The 21896-nt window shown below is 43.6% G+C and overlaps 2 long non-coding RNA genes across 3 annotated transcripts; one reads left to right on the top strand and one right to left on the bottom strand.

The window, feature by feature from the left end:
• Positions 1 to 1362: 1362 nt before the first annotated feature.
• Positions 1363 to 9388, bottom strand: LOC124902203 (uncharacterized). The gene is made up of 4 exons (XR_007061650.1): positions 9027 to 9388; positions 5348 to 5393; positions 4130 to 4183; positions 1363 to 3311 (listed from the first exon to the last, which is right to left on the bottom strand). It is a non-coding gene; the product is annotated as an uncharacterized LOC124902203 (long non-coding RNA).
• Positions 9389 to 9624: 236 nt separating this feature from the next.
• LOC124902202 (uncharacterized) lies at positions 9625 to 16604 on the top strand. 2 transcript variants are annotated; one of them, XR_007061648.1, is made up of 3 exons: positions 9625 to 9835; positions 13876 to 13938; positions 16486 to 16604. It is a non-coding gene; the product is annotated as an uncharacterized LOC124902202 (long non-coding RNA). The 2 variants fall into 2 exon arrangements; XR_007061649.1 differs by lacking the exon at positions 13876 to 13938.
• The last annotated feature ends 5292 nt before the right edge of the window (positions 16605 to 21896 follow it).

Raw genomic sequence — 21896 nt, 5'->3', positions numbered from 1 at the left:
CCACCCTACAGCCAGCGTACTCCTCCCCACCCCTTTCTCCTTACACCCCCACCCACCTCCCATCCATGATTAAATCACCTCCCACCAGGCTTCACAACCAAAATTCGGGATTACAATTCCACATGAGTTTTTCTAGCAAAACACAGCCAAACCATATTATTCCGACCTTGACCCTTCCGAATCTCATGTCCTTCTCACAGGGTAAAACACAATCATGCCTTTTCAAAAGTTTCCAAAAGCCTTAACTCATTCCAGCATCAACTCAACTATAAGAAGTTCAAAGTCTCATCCGAGACAAGGCTATACAGTATCTTCTACCTATGAGTCCCTGAAGTTAAAATGGAGTTCTTTTCTTTCAAGGTACAATGATGGTACAGGCATTGGGTAAGCTTTCTTAATCCAAAGGGAAGAAATTTCCCAGAAAAATAACACAAATGGGACCACAGGCCCAATGCACATCCAAAACCCAGCAGACCAGTATTCAATCTCACAGCTACGAAATTATGAAGAGAACTATCAGAAGGACAGCATTAAGGAGATGGTGTTTAATTACTTGTGAAGGATCACCCCCACCCCTGCCTTTCACCCCCAACCCCACCATAATTCCCCCCAATTCTCCCCACCACCCCCACCTTCCAACCTCCACTCTCCACCATGATTAAATCACCTTCCACCAGCCCCCACCACCTTTAACATTTCCCGTTACAATTTCACAGCAGTGGGACACAGAGCCAAGTCATATTATTCTGTCCCTGCCCATGCAAATCTCGTATGTCTTTCTCACGTTGCAAAATACAATGATGACTTCCCTACAGTCCCCCAAATCTTAACTCATTCCAGCAAATGTCCAAAGCCCAAAGTTTTATCTGGGACAAGGATACAGTCCCTTCTGCCCATGAGCCTCTGAATTATAAAGCAAGTTAACTACTTCCAAGGTACAATGATTGTACAGGCAATGGGTAAGCATTCCCAGCCAATAGAAGAAAAATTGCCTGAAAGAAAAACAAACACCGATGGGACTCATAGGATACACGAACATCCAAAACCCAGCAGGCCAGTCATTCAATCCTACAGCTCCAAAATCATCCTTTTGGAATCCTAGTCCCCAGCCATCTGGGGCTGTAGGGCAGCTGGCCACAAGCTGCCCTGGCTTCTTCCATGTTGTGCTCATCACTACCCACCAAGGGAGGTCAGATGCAGGCATCAAGCAGGGCGGTTGTCTCTGGACCTGCGTCTTGGTTATCATGGAGCCAAACTGGGCCTGGTGACAGGGCCATGATGGGGTTGTTCTGGTGGTCCTGTGGGTGTCCAGAAGAGATGCAGAATGGAATTGCTACCAGGATGAATCAGATGACTGTCAACACAGAACAGGCACCTGGTGAGTGCTCAGGGTTTACCCTCAGTAGCTGCCCAGAGGCCAAAACCATCCACCTGATAGCGACTGTCCCTAAGCCAGGAGGAAGAGAAGAGAGCAGGTTCCACTCACCTAAGTCTGATCAGTGAGCTGTGCTGAGATGTGCCTCTCACCTAGAAAATGGCCCTTCATGCAGAGCCACTCACAGACACTGCTGTGTGTCTCTAACTGCTCCACAACGCATAGGCAATGGGGGCTCAGCAACAGTGACATCGTGGGGTGACACAACACACCACAACGGGAGCCTGCTTGGGTCAAGAGGGCCCAGAATCAGTGTCCTCTATCCCCTGAACTCACATGTGTGCATGCAATGTGTTTATGCATGCATGTGTCTATGTGCATATGGGTGTATTTGTCTTGCTTCTCTGGCCTGGCCTAGCTGCTCCACTCACAGGTGCACCCAGGTCCTCATCACTATCACCACCAGGGCCCCAGGACCAGGATTAGAGAATCCACAGGTGCTCCCCAATCTCTGCCCTCCCCACCGAGTGTGGTACTGGGGATGCAGACAGAGGAGGGGCGCCGAGCAGAGTAGAGCGGGCTGGTACCCTCTCTAGGTGGAACCCAGGTTGTGTGTAAAGTTGGAGGTCTGCCAAGCAGTGCTGAATTCAACACATCTTCTCACATTCTCTTTCCAGCAACGCTCCAGGGTGCCCTGACTCACCTTCCTACACATGGAAGCAAGGAGGCTCCACAAACCCCCTGCCTAAGGTCACACAGCGGCCAACTGGCCAGGTTCCTACTGACCAGGCGCCCCCCAAACCAGGTCCCCACTGACAAGGCCCCTAATGACCACTCCTCCATTGACCAGGTCCCACTGACCAAGTCCCCACTGGCCATGTCTCCATAACCAGGAAGAGGTCCCTATTAATAGGCCTCACGGACCAGACCCCACTGACTGGGTTCCCACTGACAAGACCACAATTTACCAGGTTGCCCCTCACCTCACCCCCACTGAACAATTCTCCATGGATCAGTCCCCAGCTGACCGAGCCCCCTCTGACCAGGCCCTCACTGACCAGGCTCCGAGCCACTAAGGCCCCACACTGACCAGACCCCTAATATACTGAATAGACCCCACCGGCCAGTTTTTTATTGTTTATGTTCCAACCGATCAGGCCCCACTAATAAGGCCACCACTGACCAGGTCCCCACTGACTAGGCTTCCAATGACTAGGTCACCAGATCCCTACTGGTGAGGCCTTCACTGAGGAGGCCACCCCCTAGCCAGGTCCCTGCTGATCTGGTCCCAACTGACCAGGTCCTGATGGCTAGGTCATCTCTGACCATGATCCACTGACGAGGCCCCTGTGCAGTGGTGCTCAACGTCTCATTACAATGCCCCAATCAGCCCACAGACCCTCCCTCCCTGCATGTGTGCCCAGAGATCAGGCCCGGGGGGGTTTCTTGGGCCCCAAGGCCTCTCCTCCAAGACATAGGAAGGGACAGTCAGCCTCAGGCTCCAGGTACCCAGCTTCACACTCGCCCCCCAAGGCCCTCTGGGCCCATCTCAAAGGAGACAATGAGGTGGCCTGGCACTGCCTGGACATGCCATCTACCCTATTCCTGAGTGTCAGAGTGGGAGAAGGGAGGGACATTTGGCAGACGAGACACCCTGTGCTGCTGGGTCTCCCAGGGCCCTTCCCACAGAGCCCCGATCTAGAGACACAGCACAGAGGCTGCAGACAAATTAATCCAGAACCCTTGAGGCTGAGCCAGGGACCACATGAGGACTGTCCCCAGACAGCCAGAAGGCCCTTTGCTAGTTTCTTGGTACCTCAATGGATGCAGCAACAGTTCTTCTGTTGGGGACTAGCGAGTGTGTGCTGGGGAGGGCTCACCTGTGCTTCCTCAGTGGTTCCAACTCTGCTTCTAAGAAAAATTACTCATTCTAGGGCTGGAACAGAGAAAATACAAGATTAGTTTGGAACATCTTGTGCCAGAAAGTAAAAAAGTGCTGACAAGAGTAACAGAGACAAATCAAAAAGACATAAAGTCAGACATAAAGAAATGTCTACCACTGGCCTCATCTTGGGGAATTGGAGCACCAGAATCATGAGCTTTCCCTTCTCCTTTATTTATTGGTTTTATTTCTCCATGTAGAACAAACAAGAGAATACGAAAATAATCATCTGGCAACCATCACAGTAATACTTGTTCAAAGACAAGACATCAATGAAATACCGAATCTAGTGGGTTTTTAGGAGTAACCAGATATTTACAGAGCCTCAAAGTATCTCCACACAAAATACGGTTGAACTACAAAAAGAAATTCATAACATTAGTATGGACAAACCTGGCAGGTACTCTTTAAGTCTCCTACTATATATAGTAATAAAACCTGTAAAATGCAAAGAAGGCTTCGATGACCTTTACTAAAGTATCAAGGATGACTTGGTTGTTTGGCTTTTTAAACAGCTGACATTTGGGCAATTTGAGTATGTCAAACTCCATAATACTGGTGTTCATTTGCAAGATCCACTTAAAACTTAAGGGGGCTAAAAAACATCATTTAAAATACCATACTAAATGTTCATCATACATATGATATGAAAATATTCTACTTTAGTAAAGATTGTGATGTTATATATTTTATGAGAAGCAATTAAAATTTCATGTCAATAGCCCAGTAATAAAGTTTTATGATCTTTTAAATCACACAACTTTTCCTTAAGATTTTATGGTTAAATATTCTCTTTATTAGATGTGGCTTACCAGTGGATTCTAGAGAAGCAAGCAGATGGGAGCAAGTGCCCAACACAGCAAAAGCTGGAAAGAAAAAGAAAGGATTATGTTCTTTACCCAAAACATTTCAGTTAACTAAGTGTGAGTTTAAAATCTAAAGAGTTGAGAACGTTATCAGAGTTAAAAAGAATGAGAAATATGTACGTATAATTACAATACAAAATTACTATTAAATAATTAACGCATGGCATTAATTCTAATTGTGGTTAAATATCACAGCTTTTCCATTCTTTATTCATGTACTCAACACCCACGTGCTAAGGCACTAGAATCAGTACTGGAATTACAATATGAAGATGGCATGGTCCACCTCTCAACAGTCATATGCTATAACCTAAAACAACAGACAGGCAGGCAATGTCCGTATAGAGTCATAGACACTATGACAGGTATAAAGCAGGGCACTACTGGAAAACACAGAAGGGACATCTACCCCACTTTTGTGTCAATATCATGGGCTTTGTGGAGGAGATAAATAGGTTGATACCTGAAGGACAAGGAAAAGCTTGCCAGATAGAGAGACGAGGCGAAGGCAAAGAGCCTGAGGTGAGGAAGAGCCCTACAGAGTTCTACTCCGCCCACTTTGGTGCTAGAGCAAAGGGCAGAGTGCAGTAAGCGGCGAGAGATAAGGCTGAGTAACCTGACAAGAATTACATTGACACAGGTGTTTTTATTTCATGGTGAAAATTTTGGAACTTTTCCTGAGAACAGATGTAAGCCAATGGCACAGTAAATGACAGGAGATTTAAAATGTCACCTGTCAAGCCACTGCTTATGAAGGGTTTTTCCTCAACTAAGTATTTCTAAATGAGTCTGAGGTCTGTTGGTCTTCAACTCCACCAAAACCCAGAGAACCTGATGATGACTTTGTTTTCAGAGAATCCTTTCAACGTGCTGGCTGACAGTTCCATGAGGATGGCAAAAGTGAAGAAATTGTAGAGCCAGTAAAAAAGAGATGGATACACTTCTTGGGAATTTTTTAAGCTATCGGACATGATGAATTAATGGTACATGAGTATACTCTTCACTGTGAAAGTTTTTGTTTTCACATCTTTCACTAGATGTGTGTAAGGAAAAGATACTGAACGTAGTATCTACTAACCCAATAATGAAAAGGAATGCCATTTGCTATTTACACTTTATTACTAAAATAAACCTAAATTTAATTAATAAATTTTGGAAACATACTTTTCTTTGTTTCTGTAATTATTTGTTCTACACAGTCCGGCTCCATCTAAAATACATTAAAAAAATAATAATGTTTAAGTTAAACAAGAGACATTATCATGAGAATAATATATCACTTACAAAATGTGGCCTTTAGTATTTTTAGGGACTAGACGTAACATGAAGTTTGCTTAAAAAGAAAAGTAATCACATAAATAAAGTAAAATTCCTGCTTATTTTAAGTTTAGATAATAGAGGATGTATCTGTGCAATGCTGTTTAGAGTAATCTGACAAAAATAGATAATATTGGTCTATTGGATATACATAATTTTAGAAAGGTGTTGTTTTATTAGTACAAAGGTTAAATAATGGCCGGGCACGGTGGCTCATGCCTGTAATCCTAGCACTTTGGGAGGCGAAAGCGGGCAGATCATGAGGTCAAGAGATCAAGACCATCCTGGCCAACATGGTGAAACCTCGACTCTACTAAAAATACAAAAATTAGCTGGGTGTGGTGGTGCATGTCTGTAGTCCCAGCCACTCGGGAGGCTGAGGCAGGAAAATTGCTTGAACCCAGGAGGCAGAGGTTGCAATGAGCTGAGCTCGTGCCACTGCACTCCAGCCTAGTGACAGAGCGAGACTCCATCTCCAAAAAAAGAAGAAAAGAAAAGTTAAACAATTAAAGTCATATTTTGCAATGAATGCATTGCTTTGAAATTCTTAGCAAAACTCTGTCCTTTGTAAAAGTTTAATCCATTTTTTTACTTCAGTAATTTTTTCTTAAAAAGAAATTTATATTTACTTACAGAAAATTTTTTATAGTAAATTTTTCTTTTTTTTTTCTAGTTTGTATTCTAAATTAAAGTGGTACCTGTGTAAGTTTCTTCCAAAGGTATATCGAGGGATGCTGAGGTTTGGAGTACAATTAAACCCATCACACAGGTAGTGAGCATAGGACCCAAGAAGTAGTTTTTCAACCCTGGCCCATCCCCGTTCTTATTTCCCAGTGTCTATTGTTCCTATGTTTATGCCAATGTGCACCTAATGTGTAGCTCCCACATATGAGTGAAAACGAGACACTTGGTTTCTCTTTCTGCGTTAGTTTGCTTAGGATAGTGGATTCCAGTTGTATCCATGTTGCTGCGAAGGAAATGATTTTGTTCTTTTCATGGCTGCACAGTATTCCATGGTATATATATGGAATTTTCCAATCTACCTTGGATTTTCAATCTATCTTCGGTGCACCGGGATTGACTCCATGTCTTTGCTATTATGAATAGTGCTGCAATGAACATACATGTGCATGCATCTTTTTGTTACAATGAGTTATTTTCCTTGAGGTATACCCCTAGTATAGTAATGGGGTTGCTGTGTGTGGGATTACATGTGCCTGCCACCACTCCTGGCTAATTTCTGTAGTTTTAGTAGAGACAGGGTTTCATCATGTGGGCCAGGCTGGTCTCAAACTCCTGACCTCAGGTGATCTGCCTGCCTTGGCCTCCCAAAATGCTGGGATTACAAGCATGAGCCACCACACCTGGCCAAGCACAAAGCCTTTAACAGAAAAATGGAAATGAACCTTTCAGTGTTTTGTTTATTTAATTCATAAAATGCACTTATTTTGGATTCTATTAAATAATAAATATCTACATGTCATTAAGTGTTTGGTTGTCATTCACTTGTGATTATGGGTGGAAAGAGTTAAGATGATGCAAAGAAACTTTAGAAGTGGTATAGGCTGGGCATGGAGGCTCACCCCTGTAATCCCAGCACTTTGGGAGGCTGAGGCGGGTGGATAACAAGGTCAGGAGATTGAGACCAGCCTGGCAAATATGGTGAAATCCCATCTCTAGTAAAAATACAAAAATTAGCCAGGTGTGGTGGTGGGCACCTGTAGTCCCAGCTACTCAAGAGGCTGAGGCAGGAGAATCACTTGAACCCAGGAGGCGGAGGTTGCAGTGAGCCGAGATCGTGCCACTGTACTCTAGCCTAGGCAACAGAGCGAGACTGTCTCAAAAAAAAAAAAAAAAAAGTGATGTGAACCACAGACAAACTACAATCAAGTAGAGTAAGACCCTAGGTGTACCACCACCACTGCCACCGAGGCCTTCGTTACAGCACCCACAGGTTCCTCCCCACCCCAGAACGGGATGGGCCCTGCAGTGCTCCTACTCCCCCTTCCTGGCCCCCAGACTTCCTACTGCTACCACCACTAGCGCCGATGCCAATACAACCACCGTCACCCTCAATGTACCAGCCCACCCTACCAGGCTCCTACCACCTGGCCCCCGTGGGTGTCCTCCTACCGCTCTGATCGAGCTGCAGTCTCCATCACCACCACCAACCACATGAGGCAAGCTGCAGAACCACGTCATCTGCAGGCTAAACCGTACCACAGGCAACTCCTCCTTCTCCTCCTTCAGCCTGGCTTGGAGCAGCTGGGCAGGCAAAGCCCGAAAAGCCCAAAACAGGATTCAGGGAGTGGAACCGTTAGAGCCTCACCTTGTCACACTGGTGACTGGGTGGCAAGGATCAGTTTCATTGAAGGCACTCACACCCACCTTCCAAAGTCCAGCCTCTCCTTCTGGCAAGAGCTGGCCAGGAACTGGGGCCTGGGGTGGGAGTGAGTGCCTTCACTGAAACCAGCCCCTGGCCAGGTCCACCCGGCCAGGAATTACTGGGCCCACCAGGGCTGCCTTCCTCGGGGAGCCTGAGTAGGAGAAACTCAGACCCAGCCAGCCCTCCCCACCCAAGGGCTGGTTCCCATTCCTGACGCCTCCACCCACAGTGCCCTGTCCCCCACTTCCCCCGTGGTGCCTACTACTCCCTGCCCAGTAGTCCCAGGTGGTCTCTGCAACACAGAGCATGAGGGCGGGACGGGAAATCACAGTGGGTGTGGGGGCCCTGCGGTGCAATCTAGCTCAAGCAGGAGAAGATCTCCTTCTAGAGTCTGGAGTCCGGCAAGAAGAGAACGATCCCTTACTTGGAAGCCACCAGAAGGAAGAAGGAGGCCATTACTGTTGCTGCCTTTGCCACCTCCTCAGCTCGCCAGCACCGCTGGCAGTGTAGCCCCCGTAGCACCCCTAATCTGCCCCCTGCCACTAGCAGTGTAGCCCCCAGATAGCACATCCAACACACCCTACAGTTTCAGGCAATGTAACCCCAATACTCCCCCCCAAAGCACTCCCCCCACACCGCAGGGAGTGTACCATCCGATAGTGCCCACAATCTGACCCAGCCACAGGTGTTGCTGCACTGGATAGCATCCCAAACCCGCCTCCCCCCACTCCACCCCAGCAGTTCAGCTCCTGATGGCGCACCCCCCAGTCACAGGCAGTACAGCACCCAACAACGCCCCTAAACCACCCCCCACTGCCAGCATTGTAGCCCTGGGTAACGCCACCCAACCCACCCCCTGCTGCGGGAAGTGCAGCAGAAGATAGCACCCCTAACCCTTCCCCAGCCACCAGCAGTACACGTTAGTGTACACAACCTGCCTCCCGCCACCACTCCTGCCACCGCGGGCAGCATAGCCCCAGATAGCCAGTCAACCTGCCCCACCACCAGCAATGCAACCCCGGAGAGTGCCCCCAACCAGACCACTACCACAGGCAGTGTAGCCTCTAGCAGTGAGCCCCAATAGGACACCCAACCCTTGCCCCCAGAGACGTACAGGGCAGCCCCGGAACACTCACCTACCCCAACACATTTCTACCACTGTGGCCGAGCTGCAGTCTCCGACGTCACCACCAACCACAGCAAGGCGAGCTGCCACCAACCACATCGAGGTGAGCCACGGTGGCACAGGCTCCAGCCTCCAGCATGTGGCGTTCCCTCTCCCTTCTCCTAGTCCTCCAGCCCGGCAGAAGAAGCTCCCGCTGCCAGCCGCCCTCCTACTGGTCTGTGGCCACCACCAACCGCAGCGAGGTAGTGTCCCAGGCTCCAGGGATCCAGGTTCCATCCGTTCTCCAGCCTCCATCAGGCGGAAGGTGGCTCCCCCTTCCAGTTCTGTAAGCCGGGCACAGAGCAGCTCCTCAGCTCGACACAGAAGAGCTTGAAATGATCTGACATGACCTCAGCATGCTTTATCTACTGAGGTTATGCAAAAGCGGTTCCTGGACTACATGTTCTGATTGGACGAGAGAAAAACCTCTAGGCCTACTTTGATTGGACTTTATTTTCATGCTGTGGTTGGTTGTTAAGACTTGCTCTCATCCAATCAGAACATGATCATGAAGTCCAATCAGAGTAAGCCTGGAGGTTTTTTTCTCATCCAATCAAAACATGCAGTCCAGGATCCTCCGTGGGCATAACGGCAGTATATAAATGATGCTGAAAAGAAATCTGGTCTTTTCAGGTTCCCGTACTGACGTGTCGAGGTGGTCGCATCCCGGCGTAGAGGACTAGGAATCGGGAGTCACTGGCCGTATGCTGGAGGCTGGAGACGCGGGAGCGTGGCTTGCCTCGCTGCGGTTGTTGGCAGCGATGGAGATGGCGCGGCTGGAGAGGTAGAAGAAGGAAAACAGTTTTGGGATAGTTGGAGGGGGGTAAAGAGGGTAGTTAATGCCAAGGGGAAAAAAAGGATAGCAGGAGAAGGGGTTGCAAAAAGATGGCGGCGAAAAGATGGTGGGGAAAAAAGTTTTTGGGTACATGGAGGCAGAAAAACAGGGTGGGGAGCGGGAGGGAGGGAAGGTTTTGCAGAAAGCCGGTGGGTAAAAAGTGTTTCGATAGATGGAGGGGGGAGAGAGTGACGAGGAGGAGGAAAGAGGGTGGGGAGAGGGAGCAGGGATTAGAGGGTTGGGAAAACGACGGGAAAATAGTTTGGGGTAGATACAGGACAAAAAAGAGGATGGCAAGCAGGATTGGGGAAAGAAGAGCACGAGTGGTAAAGGGGGGAGACTTTGAAAAGATGGTGGGGAAAGTTTTGGGGGGTGGATGGAGGGGGGAAAGAGGAAGATGAGCAGCAGTGGGGAGAAGGCTTTGTGAAAAGATGGGGGAAATGTTTTTGGGTAGATGGAGAAGGGAAAGAGAAATGGCAAGGAGGAACGGGGGGAAAGACGATGAAGAACACAGTTTTTGGGTGGATGAAGGGGGAAAAGACGGTGGTGAGCAGCAGGAGTGGGGAGAAGGTTTTGGGAAAAGGCGGGGGAAAATGTTTTTGCTTAGATGAAGGAGCAAAAGAGTGTGATGCGGGAAGGGTAAAAAGAGGGTGGCCAGGGATAAGAGGAAAAGACGGTGGGAAGAAACAGTGGGGAAAGGGTTTGGGTCGGTGGATGGGGAAAAGGGTGTTGAGCAGGAGAGTAGAGAAGGCTTTGCGAAATGATGGTGGAGAAAAATGGTGAAGAAGTTTGGGGGCAGATGGAGGAAGAAAAAGGGTGGCCAGAGGGAGGGGGTCAAAGGTGGTCGGGAAAAGAAGGTGTAGGGAAATGATGGTGGGGGACAAAGGTTTTGGGTAGATTTTTTTAATAAGATCGTTTGTATTTTTTCTTTTGAGTAGTTTGAATTCTTTATATATTTTGTGGATGAACCCATTGTCTGATGCATAGTTTGCAAATACTTGCTTCCATTCTCTGGTTGTTTCTTCATTTTTAAAAAATTTTAATTTAATTTAATTTTTTTTAGACGGACTCTCGCTCTGTCGCCCAGGTTGGAGTGCAGTGGCACGGTCTCGACTCACTGGAAGCTCTGCCTCCTGGGTTCACGCCATTTTCCTGCCTCGGCCTCCTGAGTAGCTGGGACTACAGGCGCCTGCCACCACACCCGGCCAATGTTTTTGTATTTTTAGTAGAGACGGGGTTTCACCGCGTTAGCCAGGATGGTCTCGATCTCCTGGCCTCATAATCGGCACGCCTCAGCCTCCCAAAGTGCTGGGATTACGGGCATGAACCATTATGCCTGGCCTTAAAAGGCTAATTTTTGTCTTAAGATTTGTGGTAAGGAAGGAGAAAGAAACAAATTAGTAATCACAAATATACATATAATCACAATATGCAGTAGGTTCTATAAAGGAAAAACAGGGTGTTATGTGGAGTTTAACAAGGACAGTGAATTATAATAGTAGGTTCCATGGAGAAAGTCACCTAAGAAAGTTATACTTTAGCTCCAACATGAAGAATAAAGACAAATGAGGCAGGTACGGTGAGTGAGGAGCAGTGGCCCAAACAGACCAGAGAGTGAATGGCCTGACCGGAATTTTTTGGAAAGAATTTGAAGGAGGTCAGTGGGACTAAATCACAAAACAAAGGAGGATGCCAAAGAAAGGGTGTGGACATTGGCTGGGCCTCGTCAGCTACTATAAAGATTTTTTTAAGAACCCTAAATGCAAAGGAAATCGTTCCCAGGCTTTTAAGCAGGGGCATGATATTATCTGAATTGCATTTTAAAAATCTCACTCTGGACATTGTATAAATGATAGATAGCAAAGGAAAAGGAGTAGCTTTGAGGGAAAAAACGAGGAGCCTGGGAAAACAGAGCAACTCTAGGTGTGAGATGAAGACTGACAGTGCTTCAGAGTGTATTAAGAACATAGGGCACAAAAACATATTAAAAACGTGAAATAAAAAGCACACATCTTAGGCCGGGCATGGTGGCTCATGCCCATAATCTCACACTTTGGGAGGCCAAGGCAGGCTGATTACTTGAGATTAGGAGCTCGAGACCAGCCTGGCCAACATGGTGAAACCCCATCTCTACTAAAAATACAAAAATTAGCCAGGCATGGTGGTACACACCTGTAATCCCAGCTACTCAGGAGGCTGAGGCACAAGAATCACTTGAACCTGGGAGGCAGAGGTTGCAGTGACCCAAAATCACGCCACCGCACCCCAGCCTGGGTGACAAAGCAAGACTCAGTCTCAAAAAAAACATAATAAGATGGGGAGGACTAAAGACAATGAGGATCTTAAAAGTAGTCAGAGGAAAACATACCAGGAATAATCAGTTGCATTTTTATATACCAGCAAAAAGTTACATTAAGTAGATTTTTAAAAAGATACTTAGAATAACAAACACATGATCAATCTATTATATACATGGCATGATAAATTTAGACTGTTCAAAATATATAACACTTTAGTCAGAGGTATTAAAAGAAAAACAATAAAGTTATGATAGATGATCATGGATGGGAAGACAGTAACATAAAGATTTTGGTTTTCAAATATGATCATATATGCAATACAATTTCTGTCAAAATAATGACATTTTTATGGAAATTCCAAAAATATCTTAAATTTTATATGAAAGATAAGAGGGCCAAACATAGCCAAGACAATTTTGAAGGAGAACAAGGCAAAAATTAGCACAGAGAGGGCATGATTTAAGTTTATAATAAATTTGATAGGTGATAATAGAGCAAAGATAGTGGTTGTATAAGAGAAGAGAATAGAGGCTAAGGAACAGAATCACAATCATAAGGAAATTTTATATATGACCAAAGTGGCATTGAAAATAATTTGGGGCTGGGTGCGGTGGCTCACACCTGTAATTAAAAATTAAATTATAATTAATTTTTAATTAAATTATAATTAAAAATTATATTATAATTAATTAATTTTTAATTAAATTATAATTAAAAATTATAGGGAGATACAGAGAATAAAGATACAGAGAATAATGTCATAAATACTTTTGTACTTATTACACAGAAAAACAAATCTAGACATTTCATTTCGGACACATTTATCAAAGAACATAAAACCATTGGAGAGAACGTTGAAATCTCTATTTTTAATTTTCTAAGCCTCATTCCCCTACATCAATCCCCAGAAGCTGCCACTACTCTGAATTTGGTATTTTTTTAGCCTTATTCTGTTTGCAAAATATTATTTTGCACGGTTTAATATTTATACCATTATTTCAATTAAAATTTACTTTAAAATTTACATAAATGGTATCACACCTTATGTTTCATTTTGAAACATTTTTATCCATTTTATTTGTGTAAAATGTATGCATGTTGATACACATGGTTCTGGATCATTTCTCTTATTTACTGAAATATTCTACTATATGACTATAATTTATTCATCTGTTTCTTCTTTTAGACATTTTTGCATGTCCCTGGGGCTTTTCCCTCTTATGAATAGCACTGCTGCTATGAACACATTTTTGTGCACATCTTTTGGTACACATGTGCAAGTTTTTTTTCAGGTGTTTTCTTGGTCATAAGGAAAAGATGTTTCTAACTCCTCTATATGTTGCCAAACTACTCTTTTGAGTGGTTCTTCCACTAGCAAAATGAGAATTTCTGCTTTTTCATATTCCAGACATCATTTGATATACTAAATTCCTTTAAAATACTTTGCTAGTCTTATGAGTTTGAATGGATCTCCTTTTGTTTCATTTTGTATTTCCCCAATTATTAGTGAGGTTTAATGTCTATTCAATTATTGAGCCATGAGTTTTCTTCTTTTAAGATTAAAATGTCTGTTTTGTCCGTTGGACTGCTTTTGTCCAATTGATGTGTAAGAATTCTTCAGATCTTTTTATACCAAGCTTTTGCTTATTGTTGCTGTTGCAAATCTATTTCTCGATATTGCATCCGGAGTTGGTTCCTTTGGGTGGGTTCGTGATCTCACTGACTTCAAGAATGAAGCCGTGGACCTTCATGGTGAGTGTTACAACTCTTAAAGGTGGCACTGACCCAAAGAGAGAGCAGCAGCAAAATTTATTGTGAGGAGCAAAAGAACAAACAGTCCAGAGGGTGGAAGGGGACTGGATTACAACTACTGGCTGGGGTGGCCGAGCTTTTATTCCCTTATTTTCCACGCCCATGTCCTGCTGATTGGTCCATTTTACAGAGTGCTGATTGGTCCATTTTACAGGGTGATGATTGGTCCAGTTTACAAACCTCTAGCTAGCTACTGAGCACTGATTGGTGCATTTTTACGGAGCACTGATTGGTGCATTTTACAAACTTCTAGCTAGCTACAGAAAAGTTCTCCAAGTCCCCACTCAACCCAGGAAGTCCTGCTCCCTTCACCTCTCAATATGTCTCCTATATTTAGTTTGTCTAGCATGTCTTCTGTAGTACTCAATTTTTTAACTTTAAGTCAAATGTATCAATTTTTAGTTTATCAGCTAATTAATTTTCATGTCAGATTTTCCCATGAGTTAATCAGTCATTTTAAAGAATCGTCTTTCATTTTGGTTTGTCCGCTTGGTTTGTTGGTTTCTCTTTCTCTGATTTCTGTTCTTATATTTACTAATCCTTTCCTCTCCTTATTTCAGCAGACTCTATTTTTATTTTCTAGCTTTGACTACTACCTTCATCTTAGTCTTTCAGCAAATTCATTTTAACTCACTTTGTCTGCGTTTTTCATATTTTGAAGTATACAGTACTTTTAGTGACAACAGTTCTAGAGATTTTCCTTCTTAAACCATGGTACACTTAAAATTTTTAAGTTTAAATGAAATAATTTATATACATACTAGAAAAGGAAAACAAGTTATCTCCCATTTCTCCTGTCCCTCTGTTCCCTCCCCAGATGAGGGCAACCAGATTATTAGAGTGCTAACCTGGGTTACTTAAACTTTATGTTATGTAAGATGAGAAAAATTGGTGTTTATTTGAAATGATACATATTATTTACTTTTCTGTTACATAAATGCTATCATTTAAACAAAGTGAAATGATGAATTTATTATTTAAACAAAAACAATAGAACTAGTTAACAGTGGCAATTAGTAGTAGGGCTGATTAAACAAAAAATATGTGTGAGGAAAATATAACAATATTTTCATAATTTTTTTATTCTCTGACAACTTATTTTACTCTTTATTACATTTAATAAATTTTGTAGGTCATATAATTGTGTATTCTCAAGATACATGTGAATGTTTTAACAAGGAGAATGTACAATAGGACTAACTAAAGAGAGACTACCTATATTTAGTTGAAAACAACAATGACATCTTTTTTCTGTACCATGAGACAGTGGGATATTTTTACTCTTTCTGTTTCATTTTTCTTAATACTTCCCTGAACTGCTGTACCCTTAAGTCACATCAGTCACCTCACTCGCTCCTCACTTAATGCCCCATTGCAGGGAACCCCAAGTCGTGGGTGCCAACATCAGTGGGCAATGGCCATGGTAGCAGGGGATCTGTGCTGTACTCAGCCCCTATTTTTTAGGATGCTCTATGAGTTTTGTACTTTTCCCTCAACTTTCCTCATCCATCATGAAAAACTGAGATGTCTTGTATCCTAGGACTGAGGACTTTTCCAGAGTGTGGGACTGACAGTCCTGAGCAAGCCTGGACACTTGGCCACCACAGCAAAGTAGTAATTTTAGCTCTCTTAGCTGGTTCTCTTGGTCTTAGTCTCCATATTGCTAAATAACATACTTATATTGCTATTTCTTGATTATTCTATCTCAGATATCATTTACTGTGTTTTAGTATGAAAATGAGGATTTGACTCTCTTTCCAAATCCTTTTTTCTTAGCTCCAGTGTATTTCTTTTTGTTGCTTTACACATTCACTTTTTTTGGAGAAAACTATGCAGTGGCTTCCCAAGAAGTGTTGCATGCGAGGGGAGTCTTTTAAAAAATAAGTGTTTGTGCATGACCCCCACCCCTCACCCCATTGTTTCCCACCTGGAAAAAGCACACAGAATTGTTTCCAGATACTCTAAAACAATGGCTTTACAAAGGAAAAGAGTCTTATCCCAAAAACACACTCTTTTCACTTATCCCCAAAGGAGACTAACCATAAAAAGTTTTCAAAACTGAATCAAGATGTCAACACCTTCATTTTTAAGAAGGACTCTAAGGTACCTATGCTGCCAAAATGCCTGCACCATCCTCTCGCTCCATTTCCACATTCACAGGGGCTTTGCAGCATTCTTAGGACAAGATCTTTTCAAGGCAACTCTTATTAACATGTGTTAGCTATTTCCTTATAGAGCATCAAGGTAAGAAAGGTTGATAATATTATTAACCATGCCCCTGCTTTGATGTGGTTATGGGAAATTGAGCGGCTCAGCTTTCCTGGTCACTGGCACTAACCTTTCACACCAGGATTTCCTGCAGTTTAAGGGTGAGAGACTGGCTAGGGGAATGGTGATGTCTTACAGCAAGCCTCATTTGCTTTTTACACGTGGTTTCTACAGACTACTCAATTTTGTCCAAAATCTAATGCTCACCTTTCTTTACAGTGCCATCTGCTGCTGCCTCTGACTACTGCATTTTCCCCCGTTTGCTTAGTCCACGCCCAGTGTGGTAAAAGATGGGAAAGAGAAAGCCATCCTCTCATTAAAGTAATTGGTCCGGCATATACTAAGCGTCAGGCACTTTTTTTTCAGACACTACAGAAATATATCGACACAGGCAAAATGTATTTTCTGTACCCTATAGTCTCACTTAATAATGGGTACATTAGGCTGGGCACAGTGGTTCACGCCTATAATCCCAACACTTTGGGAGGCCGAGGCGGGTAGATCGCCTGAGGTCAGGGGTTCAAGACCAGCCTGGCCAACATGGCTAAACCCCGTCTCTATTAAAAATACAAAAATTAGCCGGGCATGGTGGCTCATACCTGTAATCCCAGCTACTCAGGAGGCTGAGGCAGGAGAATCACTTGAACGTGGGAGGCGGAGGTTGCAGTGAGCCGAGATCGCGCCACTGCACTCCAGCCGGAGACAGAACGAAACTCCGTCTCAAAAATAAATAAATAAATAAAATGATAGGTACAATAAGTAACATCAGGGGATGATATCAAAGAAAAATTTAACATATAAAATGCAGAGATACTGATGGGGTGCTGTTTTATACAGGGTGGTCATGAAAGACCTTTCTGCTAGCTATTTCTGAATGTAGTGTAGGCATTGAGCCATGTAGATGTCTGGGAGGAAATTTTCAGGCCTAGGATCAGCAAATGTGGAGATCTAGGAGGATCATTCAGCAGAGGGAACAGCAAATACAAAGGTCCTGAAGTAGAAGCACATGGGGCATTTTCCAGGCTGTGGGAGGAGGTGGTGCCCGAAAGTAGAATGAGGGAGTGAGGCGTTGCTGATGGGGGCTGAAGTGGAAGCCATGACCAGGTCATGGAACATTATGTTGGCCACAGTGAGGACCCCGAATTTTTCTAAGTGTGATGGGAAGCTACTGGGCAGTTTTGAGCAGAAGAGTATCACAATCACATTCAGATTTTGAAAGAATTACTCTGTCTGTTACGCAAATAGCCAAGAGCAGAAGAGTAGACAATGATGCCATCCTGAGGGCTAGCAATGGAGGCGAAGGGAAGAGATTCTGGGTTTTGGATATATGTGAAGAGAACGCTGAAAGGATTTGCGAGCAGGTTAAATATTGAGTGTGAAACAAACACAGATGTCGATGATGCAGAGGTTTCGCCTGAGCAGTAGCGTGAATGGCGGTGCCACTTTCTGAGACTGAGAATCCTGCTGGAAAGCAGGTTTGGGGACAAGAACAAGAGTCTGGTTTTGGATGTCGATTTACTTTTGCATTTTGAACCAACATTGCATTCTAGGAATAAATCCCATTTGGTCATGACGTGTAATCCTTTTAATGTGCTGTTGAATTCAGTTTGCTGGTATTTTGTTGATGATTTTTGCATCAATACTCATTAAAGATATTGGTCTGCAGTTTTCTTGTAGTATCTTTGGCTTTGGTATAAGGGTAGTGCTGCACTCATAAATATGAGTTTGGGAGTGTTCCCTCCCTCCTCTTTAATTTTTTGAAAGAGTTTTAGGAGGATTGGTATTAATTCTTCCTTAAATATTTGGTAGAATTCTCCAGTGAAGTCATCTGGTCCTGGGCTTTTCTTTGTTGAGAGGTTTTTGATTATTGATTCAATCTCCTTACTAGTTTTAGGTCTCTTTAGATTTTCTATTTCTTTATGATTCAGACTTGGTAGATTGCGTGTTTGTAAGCTACCAAGATTATCCATTTTGTTGGTTTATAATTATTCATAGTAGTCTCTCATAATTGTTTTTATTTCTGTGGCATTAGTTGTAATGTCTCCTCTTTCACGTCTGATTTTAATTATTTAAGCCTTTTCTCTTTTTTTCTTAGTCTAAGGATTCATCAATTTTGATCTTTTCAAAAAACCAATTTGTAATTTTATTGAGTTTTCTCTATTTTGTCTTCCATGTATTATTTGTTTATTTATCTTATTTTATTAATTTTTTATTGAGGTGGAATGTGGCTCTTGTTGCCCAGGCTGGAGTGCAATGGCACAATCTCAGCTCATTGCAACCTCTGCCTCCCGGATTCAAGCGATTCTCCTACCTCAGCCTCCGGAGTGGCTGGGATTAGAGGCACCCGCCACCACACCCAGCTAATTTTTGTATTTATAGTAGAGATGGGGTTTCACCACGTTGGCCAGGCTGTTCTCAAACTTCTGGCCCCAGTTATAAGGCGTGGTGGTACGTGCCTGTAATCCCAGCTACTTGGGAGGCTGAGGCAGCAGAATTGCTTGAACCCTAGAGGCAGAGGTTGCAGTGAGCCAAGACCATGCCACTGCACTCCTGCCTGGGCGACAGACTCCGTCTAAAAAAAAAAAAACTACTCTTCCGCATAAAATATCTCCCTGGGTAACAGACCACTGCAAAGATGACTACAGATCTCTCTTGTTGTGTATCTATATGGAGAATACTGAAAAAACCATCCTTCTCATCAGTTTCCATTGGGAACCATGTTACAAACTACTGCGGTTTCTGTGTGTGCATGTGCGTGTTTCTGTAAAATTCTGCTACATCAGTCTTTTCCATACTATGCACTGAAAAACACCAATGTCAGAAACAACTCAAATATCTACCAACCCAAATATCTACTGAAATGGATAAACTGACTAGAGTGTGTTGATACAATAAAATACCACTGAGCAATAAAAATCATTAACTATGATACATACAACAACACTGATAAATCTCAAAAACACTGTGTATTATGAGGCCAGGTGTGGTGGCTCACACCTGTAATCTCAACACTTTGGGAAGCTGGGGAAAGAGGATTGCTTGAGCTTAGGAGTTTGAGACCTGCCTGGGCAACAAAGTGAGACCCTGTTTCTATTTAAAAAAATTTTTTTTAATTGGGCTGGGCTCGATGGCTCACGCCTGTAATCCCAGTAATTTGGGAGGCCGAGGTGGGCAGATCACCTGAGGTCAGGAGTTCAAGACCACCCTGGCCAACATGGTAAAACCCCGTCTCTGCTAAAAATACAAAAATTAGCAGGGTGCGGTAGTGCGCACCTATAATTCCAGCTACTTGGGAGGCTGAGGCAGGAGAATCACTTGAACCCGGGAGACAAAGGTTGCAGTGAGCCCAGATTGTGCCATTGCACTCCAGCCTGGGGGACAGACCGAGACTCCAAAAAAAAAAAAGAACCTCTGAACCTCTGATGCACGTGGAAATATGAGGAAAGAGGAGGAAGATGGAAGATGGAAGGACTCACGGAGCATGCAGCTGTCAGTGCTGTGCTGTCTATGTGGAGCTGCCTGCCCCAACCAGCATCTAAGTGTATCCAGGATGCAGATTCTCTGAGCAGCACCATGGTGCTTTATATACTTTATATTTTTACAGGTATTTTATGAACCACTTCAGAAAGCTTTCATCAAGCTCAGGTTTAAGCTGATGACCTAAAATTACATGAAGTTCCTAAAATTATATGAAGAAAATCTATCCTGTTATGAGGCTGGCCAGAAGGATAACCGGAGAATCTCCAGCTATGTCATCAGCTTCCCAGATAAGCCATGGTCAGGGGCCCTTCCTCTAAGCTTCCTGGGACTCCATGGATAGGTGAGGCTTCTGGGCAGCAGTCGCTCATCTTTCTGTCCCACTTCAGCTGCAGTGAGAAGAGATAAAGGGAACACTGCATATTGAGCCTCATTTAGTTTTGTCATGCACTGTGCTTTTGAAAAAAGGCAAATAATTGTCAACATGTAAAAACTGAGAAGGTTCATACTAAAAATAGATTCTGATTTTTCTAAAAAAAAAAACACTGAGTTTGGATTCATGCTGTCTTGGATAATAGACATCAATTTCTTTTTTTTTTTTTTTGAGACAGAGCCTCACTCTGTTGCCCGGGCTGGAGTACAATGGCACAATCTCGGCTCACTGCAACCTCTGACTCCTGGGTTCAAGTGATTCTCCTGCCTCAGCCTCCTGAGTAGCTGGGATTACAGGCATGTGCCACTACGCCCAGCTAGTTTTTGTATTTTTAATAGACAGGGTTTCGCCATGTTGGCCAGGCTGGTCTTGAACTGCTGACATCAGGTGATCCACCCGCCTCAGCCTCCCAAAGTTCTGGGATTACAGGCGTGAGCCACTGCGTCCGGCCCAGACATCAACTTCTAAAAAGTCATCGGGTAAATTGATGGAGATTGCATACTTAGATCTAAGAGTTTAATTGCTGACACTACTTCAGCTATAAGCATTAGCAGAAAGTAAAAAATGTATGCTTTTGAAGGGGTTCAGAGTTTGGGGGTTCAGAGTATGATGCTCCAAAACATGCCACTGTAGCATTGGATTTATTCTGAGCTAAAGGCAGTTGAGAAAAAGCAGACACAGGATGAGCCCTTTGCCCTCCCTCTCTATGCCTGAAAAGTAAAATACAAATTCCCCTTGAAAAGAAGTCCCTCCCCATTCCTGTGTCAAGAAGGGAATAATGACCTTATCACTGGAGATGAGATGGCACCCAGAAAGAGCCTAGACAAACAAACCCCGCTAACTAGCACTTACTGTCCATTAGCTTCCCTGTAGATTTACCCCCTCGTGATTGGCCATCCCTAGAAACTCAAAGGTTTTTTTCCTTTGTCTTATTACTTCTCTGCAAATGTATTGTTCTTTATGAAGATGCCACATAAACCCACGATGGAACCACTCCTTTGAGTTACTCATCTCTGAGTGCTCCCATGTGAATACATGGTGCATATGTTAACAAACTTCTCTTCGTTTTCCTCTTGCTAATCTGTCTTTTATCAGTCTAATTTGCAGGACCCCATTCAATGAACCTAAGATGAGCAGAGGAAAAAAATAACAGTTTTCCCTTCCCTATAGTTTCTTATGAAATATTCTTTTGTTGAGCAACTGACTTGAATATTTTGATACTTCCAGATTAAAAGTATTCCTTATGTGCAAAGAAATACAAATGGTTATTGTTAGAGGAGGTATTAAATGCATTGATTGAATTATATTATTTTATAGGTCTTATTCATCACATTAAAAGTTTTGAAAGATCAATATGTGTTCTTGTTTAACTAAAAAGAGAAGACAGATGTTAATAACAATTCACTTATTAAACTAATTCTGTTATGTTGTTAATTAAATTTTTTTTTCTTCAAAATAACCCCTAGGGACGCATTAAAAAAGTCATTAAGGGCCAGGCACAGTGGCTCATGCCTGTAATCCCAGCACTTTGGGAGGCCAAAGTGGGTGGATCACCTAAGGTCAGGAGTTCAAGACCAGCCTGGCCAACATGGAGAAACCCCATCTCTACTAAAAATATAAAAAATTAGCCGGATGTGGTGGTGGGTGCCTATAATCCTAGCTACTCAGGAGGCTGAAGTAGGAGAATCACTTGAACCTGGGAGGCGGAGGTTGCAGTGAG

This window comes from Homo sapiens, chromosome 9, assembly GCF_000001405.40.
Source record: "Homo sapiens chromosome 9, GRCh38.p14 Primary Assembly".
NCBI lineage: Eukaryota > Metazoa > Chordata > Mammalia > Primates > Hominidae > Homo > Homo sapiens.
Note: the sequence above shows the minus strand (reverse complement) of the source record. Positions and strands in the feature narration are given on the sequence as shown.